At 47.2% G+C, this 8,382-nt stretch overlaps 1 non-coding gene across 1 annotated transcript; it reads right to left on the bottom strand.

Annotated features, from left to right (window-relative positions):
* Positions 1-3,156: 3,156 nt before the first annotated feature.
* Positions 3,157-3,238, bottom strand: MIR5701-3 (microRNA 5701-3). The gene has a single exon (NR_128721.1). It is a non-coding gene; the product is annotated as a microRNA 5701-3 (primary transcript).
* Positions 3,239-8,382: the final 5,144 nt, after the last annotated feature.

Raw genomic sequence — 8,382 nt, 5'->3', positions numbered from 1 at the left:
ACCACCCCTAGCTAATTTTTTCTATTTTTAGTAGAAACGGGGTTTCACCGTGTTAGCCAGGATGGTGTCGATCTCCTGACCTCGTGATCTGCCCGCCTTGGCCCCCCGAAGTGCTGGGATTACAGGTGTGAATCACCACGCCTGGCCTATATGCGCTATACTTTCATAGAACCAGGAGCTCAGTAGGTTTGTTTACGCCATCATCACTACAAACACGTGAGTATTGCGTTGTATTACAAGGTTAAGACGGCTATGCTGTCAGTAGACAATGAGGATTTTTCAGTTTCATTACAATTTTATAGAACTACCCTGATACATGCAGGCCATCACTGGTGAAACGTTGTTATGCAGTGCATGACTGTATTATATTGGAAGAAAGAGTGAGATAATATGCTGACACTCACACCGGGCTCATGCGCCAGTAGGAGGAGGTCGCCCTCCAGAGACTGCAGGAGAAGGGGGAGAACTCCTCCTTGCCCTGGCTGTTCCTCCACCACTTCCACCGAGGCCTGTGGTACAGCACCCGAAGCTTCCTAACCCACCCTAGGCCTGGCCGGGCAGGCCCCGCAGCGCTCCTACTCCCTCTTCCCGGCCCCTGGACTTGCGGCTGCTGCCACAACTAGCACAGATGTCACTATAACCATCGCTGCTGTTGCCCTCAATGCACTGGCCCACCCTACAAAGCTCCTACTACCTGGCCACCGCCGCAGCCCTGCCCCTGCCATGGCCGCAGCTGGCCGTCCTCCTACCGCTCTGGTGCGAGGTAGTCTCGGTAGCTGCCACCAACCGCAGCAAGGCGAGCAGCAGCCCCAGGCTATCTGCAAGCTTCCAGCATGTAACTCCTCCTCCTCCTGGCATGGAACAGCTGGACACACAAAGCCAAAAAAGCCTAGAGGAGAATGCAGAGACTGATAGCGTTAGAGCCTCACCTTGTCATCCTGGCCACTGGGTGGCAGGGGCCAGTCTCAGTGAAGGCACTCATATCCACCCTCCAAAGTCCAGCCTCTCCTTTTGGCTCAAGCGGGCCAGGAACTGGGACCTGGAGTGGTGACTGGTAACATCACACTGCCTGGCTCCAATCCACAGGAACCGCTGGGCCCACCAGGACTGCGCTCCTTGGGGAACAAAATCAGCAGGAACTCAGACACAGCCAGCCCTCCCACCCAAATGCCGGTTCCCCATCCTGATGCCTCCACCCACAGAGCCCTGTCTCCCCGTGGTGTCCCCGCCACTCCGTGTCCAGCGTGCCTAGGGGTGCCAGGTGGTCTCCGCAACACAGAGCGAAAAGGGCGTGGCCCCGGGAACCACGGCGGGTAAGGGGTCCTTGCCGTGCTCAGGATTACTGCGGAAACGCCGTGCGCTCGCTGCGCTCTAGCAGGAGCAGGAGGAGATCGCCTTTTAGAGTCTGAAATCCAGAAAGAGGAAGAAGGCTCCTTCCTTGGAGACCCTGTTGCTGCAAGCTCTGCCGCCACCAGCAAGGCAGCCCCTGATGGCGCCCCTAATCCGCTGCCTGATGTTGGCTCTGGGATAGCGCCCCCAACACCGCCCCTCGCCGCTGCAATGTAAAACCCAATAGCGCCCCCAACCCATCCCTGCCTCGGACGTCGCAGCACCAGATAACTCCCCCATCCTACCGTCTGCCGTCGGCCATGCAGCCACGGATAGGACCTCCAACTAACCCCCGGCTGTGGGCAGTGATGCCCCGGAGAGCACGGCCACCTGCTCCATGCCGTCAATAGTGCAGCCATGGATCCTTAAGGTCCCCAACCCCCTCCCCACGACGAGCAGTGCAGCCCTACATAGCAGATAGCACCCCCAACTATCCCCCACCCAGGGGGAATGATGCCCTGGATAGTGCACCCCACCCGCACCCCGCCATGGGCAGTGCAGCCTCCGACAGCACCCCTAACCTGTATACCGCTGCCAAAAATATGGTCCCCGATAGCACACCAAACCCAGCCCCCACCACAAACAGTGCAGCAGCTGATAGAGCACCTAACTCGCCCCACCGCCACTGACCACAGTGCAGCCCCCGAACGGTGCCCACAACCCACCCCACCACCCCGCCTGCCACCGGCCGGGTATCACCCCCAAACCGCCCCTTGCTGTGAGGAGTGTATCCCCTAGTAGCGCACCCAAACCTGCCCTCTATCATGGGCAGTCTGGCCCGATAGCGCCCGAAACCGCACCCTCCAAGCACCTACCCGCACCCACCGCTGCCCCGCCCCACCACCAGCAGTGTAGCACCTGATACTGCCTCTAACCTCTCCCCTGCCATGGACATTGCAGCCCCACATAGCGCCCCCAACAAGCCCCCACCATGGGCAGTGCAGCCCCAGATAGCATCCCCACCCCGCTGTCAGCAATGAAGCCCGACCAGTAAGCACCCCCACCAGTCCGCACCCTAACCAGCCCTCCCACCACCATGCCGCCGGCAGTGCAACCACAATAGCAGCCCCAACCCGGCCCCTGTCGCGGGCAGTGCAGCACCCAATAGCGCCCCCAACCAGCCCTACTGCTGCCATCAATACAGCCCAAGATAGTGACCCCAACCCGCCCCCCACCAACCCCCCCCCCACCCGCTGCTGAGGGCAGTGCAGCCCCGGATAGCACACCTAAAAGCAGTGACGCCCAAAATAACACTCTAGTACACCCAAAGTAGTGACACCCGGAATAATACCCCAACCAGCCCCCGCCGCGGGCAGCCCTGGATAGCTTACCTACCCCATTGCCTTTCTACACTCTGGCCAGCTGCAGTATCCGTCGCTGCCACCAACCACAGCGAGGCCAGCCAGGGAGGCGAGCCAGCGAGGCCAGCCGCAGTCCTGCAGGCTCTAGCCTACAGCCTATGGTAGGTGCCTTCTCCTTCTTTCCTTCCTGTAGCCAAGCACGGAGCAGCTGTCACTGCCAGCTGCCTCTCTCCATTGCCACCACACACCATTCAAGGCTCCAGGGCTCCAGGTTCCAGGCTCCAGCCTGCGGCAGCACACTCTGCTGCCGCTTTCTCCAAACTCTGCGGGAGAAGTAGAGGCTAACACACGATAGCCTGCAACAGCGCGACGCCCCCTTAGCATACCTTATATACTGGGGGTTGTGCAGGCCTGGTTCTCGGACTTCACGTTCTGATTGGATGAAAGAAACATCTACGCCTACTCTGATTGGACGTTATTTTCATGTTCTGATTGGATCAGAACAAGTCTTAGGCTAACCAATCAGAACGTGACAATAAAGTCCAATCAGAGTAGGCCTAGTGTTTTCCTCTCATCCACTCAGAACATGTAGTTTATAATCTCGGTATATAAAGCATGTTAAGAGATAGAGTTGCACTAGTCCAGCCTCGTCGGCGTCTGACTTCATAGCTGCTCCATTGCCAGCTTGGAGTAGGAGGTGCCAGCCACTGCATGCTGGAGGCTGCAGCCTACCGGGCTGTGGCTGGCCTCCCTGGCTCACCACCTCGCCGGCTTGCCTCGCCTTGCCTCGCTGGCTTGCCTTGCCCGCTGCGGTTGGTGGCAGCGATGGACACTGCAACCGGCCAGAGTGTAGAAAAGCATCGGGGTAAGTGGCTATCCAGGGCTGCACTGCCCTTGGCCTGGGACGGGTTGGGGGCCCTATCTCAGGCGTCACTGCCCACCTTGGGTGGCTGGTTAGGTGTGCTATCTGGGGCTGTGCTGCCTGCACCGGGGGGTGGTTTGGGGGCCCTAACCGGGGCTGCACTGCCCTCGGCGGGGAGCCTGTTGGGGAAACTATCCCAGACTGTATTGCTGGCAACAGTGAGGTGGGCTAAGTGTCCTATCCAGGGCTGCACTGCACGGCTGTTGCGGGGGGGTGGTGGTTTCAGGTTGAGGGTGCTATGGGGTGCTGCAATGCCCGTGGTTCGGGGAGGCGGGGCGGTTTGGGTGTGTTGGGTGCGCTATTGCGGGGGGGCTACACTGCTGGTGGCAGGGGGCAGGGTGGGTTGGGGGCCATATCAGGGGCTGCACTGATTGCTTTAGCTAGGGTTTCCAGTACTATGTTAAATAACAGTGGTGACAGTGGGCATCCTTATCATGTTCCAGATCTTAGAGGAAAAGCTTTCCATTTTTCCCCATTCCATATGATTCTAGCTGTGGGGGTCTCTCATGTGGTTTTTATTGTGTTGCAGTATGTTTCTTCTGTACCCGTTTTTTGAGGATTTGTAGCATGTTCCCCAAATTGAATATACCATTTTTTAAAAAGAGACTGAGTCTTGCTGTTATGTTGCCCAGGCTGGTCTCAAACTTCTGGACTTACGCGATCCTCTTCTGCCTCAGCCTTCAGATAGCTGCAGCTATAAGCATGCACCACCGCACCCAGCTTGAAGGTACTGTATTTTTAATTCCATATTGTCAAGCGTTTAAGTTACTTTTCTTTAAAAAATTAATATTAATTCAAAGGAAGAAATTGGCAGAGTGAAAAGACAACCTACAGAATGGGAGAAAATATTTGCAAAGTATGTATCCAGCAGAGGATTAATATCCAGAATATACAAGGAACTCTTGACATCTGAATAGCAAAAAAAAAAAAAAAAAGAATCCAACTGAAAAATGGGCAAATGACCTGAATAGATATTTCTTAAAAGATGACAGACACATAACCAACAAATATGTTTTCCTAAAAAGCTCAACATCACTAGTCATCAGGGAAATGCAAATCAAAACCACAATGAGGTGTCATCTCACCCCACTTAGAATGGCTACTATCAAAAAGACAAAAAATAGCAAATGCTGGCAAAGATGTGGAGAAAAGTGAACACTTAAATGTGGCTAGTGGAAATGTAAACTAGTACAGCCACTATGGAGAACAGTGTGGAGGTTCCTCAAAAAACTGCAAATAGAACTATTATATGGTCCAACAATATATTATTGGACATTTATCCAAAGAAAAGGAAATCAGTATATTGACGAGACATCGGCACCCCCGTGTTTATTGCAGCACTATTCACAATAGCCAAGATATGGAATCATCCTAAGTATCTAACAACAGATGAATGCATAAAGAAAATATGGTATACATACACAATGGAATACTATTTAGCCATAAGCAAGAATGAAATCCTATAGTTTGAGGCACATGGATTGAACTGGAGGACATCATATTAAGTGAAGTAAGCCAGGGACAGAACATTAAGTACTGTGTGTTCTCATTCATTTGTGGAAGCTAAAAAAATGTTGATCTCATAGAGGTAAAAAGTAGAACAGAATACTACAGGCTGGGAAGCATAGGGTGCAGGGATGGTAGAAAGCAATTTGTTAAAGGTTTCAAAATTACAGCTAGATAGGAAGAGCAAGTTCTAGTGTTGTATAGCACTGTAAGATGACTGTAATTAACAACAATATGTTACACAGTTTCAAAGAGTTAGGAGGAGGATGTTGAATGTTCCCAGCACAAAGAAATGATAAATGAGATTATGGATATGCTAATTACCTCGATTTGATCTCTGCAAATCTATGGGAATGTTACTATGTTATTCATAAATACTAATAAATACATCAAAAATTTTAAAATTAATAATGAACAAAAGATAAGGGGCCCTGAACTCTAGCTTTAGGGCTGAATTGTATCCAGTCAGATGGTTTATATGTTATTTAAACTTTCACTTTAAATTTGGAGTGGAAATATGTTTGGAAATCCTTACTTTTAGTATGTTGATTTGTGTGTGTGCGTGAGGTAAATCTGGTTGGCTATTGGCAAATGTACTGGGTAGCTACTTAATAAAACATTTCCTTCCAGTGTTTCAGCTTTCTGATTCTTAGAACATGTGTATATTTAACATAATATGCATTATCACTTTTGAAAGTAGTTATTCTAACACTTATTTGTGCTAAATTAGAATATGAATTTGGGAACTATTACTCTTTTCTATGGTCTGGAATAATTTAAGTAATAGAAATTATCTGATTAGATAGAAATTCATTGTAAAATCATCAAGTTTAGAAGCTCTTAAGATTTCCTTTGACTTTTGCTTATTAGTTTTAAAGAAAAAAATAAATTGACATAATGGAAATTTTCACTATACATCAGGAAGGGAATTCAGTGGAAAAGTAAGCTTCCTACTCCCTCTTGACCTTCAGTTTATACTTTTCTTCCTAAGTCAAGTACTGCTACTGGTTTCTTATGCTGTTTCTAGAACTAGCCTATCTATTGTCTATTTAAAATAACTCTTTAATCACCTTTTATTTGAGCTGCCTTATGGATCTATGTAGTTTTTCTGTCTCTCTTTAAAATTTTTTATGCGGTAGAATACACATAACATAAAATTTACCATCTTAGCCATTTTTAAGTACACAGTTTAGTAGCACTATCTTTCACATTGTTGTGCAACCAATCTCCAAAACCTTTTCATTGTGCAAAACAAATTCTGTGTCTATTCAACTGCTCTCCATTCTTTCCTACCTGCAACTCCTGCAACCATCCTTCTACTTTCTGTCTCTCTGAATTTCACTATGTCACATAAGTGGAATCATACAGTATTTGTCTTTTTGACATGGGCTTATTTTACTTAGCATAATGTCCTCCAGTTCCATTCATGTTGCCTTGAAAGGCAGGATTTCATTCTTTATGGCTGAAATAGTATTCATCTTGTTGTAGCATGTCAGGATTTCCTTCCTCTTGAAAGCTGAATGATATCGTATGTATATACCAACATTTTATTGATCTAAATGTATCTGCCAATGGATTTTTCGGTTGTTTCCACCTTTTGACTATTATAAATAATGCTACTGTGAACATGGGTGTACAAATAACTTCAAGGCCCTGCTTTCATTCTTCCGAATATACATCCAGAAGCGGAATTGCTGGATCATATGGTTATTCTATTTTTAATTTTTTGAAGAATTTCTATTATTTTTAAAGTCACTTTTCATGGTTTGTTCTTTCCTACAAAACATGTTTTTCAATTTTATCAGTGCAGAGTTGTATATAATATTTATATATTTTACTTGTACAATTAAAGGCTGTATTTTATTTCTATATTATCATATAATTACCTTCAGTATCTATGTTTGTAACTGTTTCCTCATTTCTTTTTTTCCTCGTTCACGTTTACTATTTTATTGGTCTTTAAAACCTAGGCTTTCTTTTTTTTTTTTTTTTTTTTTTTTTTTTTTTTTGAGACAGAGTCTTACTCTGTCGCCCAGGCTGGAGTGCAGTGGCGCAATCTCCACTCACTGCAAGTTCCGCCTCCCAGGTTCACACCATTCTCCTGACTCAGCCTCTCCTGAGTAACTGGGACTACAGGTGCCCGCCACCACGGCCGGCTAATTGTTTTTTTTATGTTTTTAGTAGAGACGGGGTTTCACCATGTTAGCCCAGGATGGTCTCGATCTCCCAACCTCATGATCCGCCCACCTCGGCCTCCCAAAGTGCTAGGATTACAGGCATGAGCCACCATGCCCGGCCTACTTCTTTTTTTGTCATTTCTAATTGACTGGTAAGTACATTATATCATTACTGCAGCAGATTTATGTTACAGTGTTTTACCTGTTTATGTTAGAATCAGTTTATGTTTCTGGAATCTGGAATAGGATAATACCTATTTGATTTGAAATTGGACAGAGAGTAGCTTTATGTTGGTCCAGATAATCTCATTTCTCATTTGGACAAGATATTTGAGGGTTTGAAAAATTCCTGTGATGATTAAAGGAGAAAACTCTTGTGAGTTATTGTATGCTGAGACACACACACACACACACACACACACACAGTTTATTGCATTGTTGGGTTTTATACATAAAATTACCCAAGTTGCAAATATATGTCTTACAACTTTGACTCTCAGGATAGTGCAGCAGGATGAAGTGCAACCGCCCCCGCCCCCCCTTCCCCGATTTGCCAACAAGGGCAGACCAAACTAGAAGTGTGGCGCTGTACATGTTTCTGTGGAACCCTGACAGTGAAGCTGTTCTGGTTGCCATGTCCTGTTTCCGCCACCTCTGTGAGGAAGCAGATACCTGGTGTGGGGTGGATGAAGTGTCAGTGCATCACCTCTTGCCCAACTGTAGCACATTCATGGAGTTTGCCTCTGTCAGCAATGTGATGTCAACAGGTAAATGTGAATAGTGGTTTTTTTACTCAACCTGCCTGAAGCACGTGACATCTAATTGTGAGAATGTATTTAAGGTTACTACTTTGTAAGTTTACAGGGGAAATTCAAGTAGCTTACTTGAAATCCTTTTCTGAACAAAGAAATGAAACAAAGATGAAAAGAAAAAGCATTTGAAATAGTCTCCCACTGAGTTTTTAATATGCTATACGTTTTAAAAATAACTGGCAGTATATGTTATTATCAGTTGTGATCATATAATTTACTCCACCTAAGTTGTAGATAGTGAAGTTTTATGCACATTGGCATATGTTTTGAGTAAA

This window comes from Homo sapiens, chromosome 15 (assembly GCF_000001405.40).
Source record: "Homo sapiens chromosome 15, GRCh38.p14 Primary Assembly".
In the NCBI taxonomy this organism is placed as follows: Eukaryota; Metazoa; Chordata; class Mammalia; order Primates; family Hominidae; genus Homo; species Homo sapiens.
This window is presented reverse-complemented; position numbering and strand designations above follow the sequence as displayed.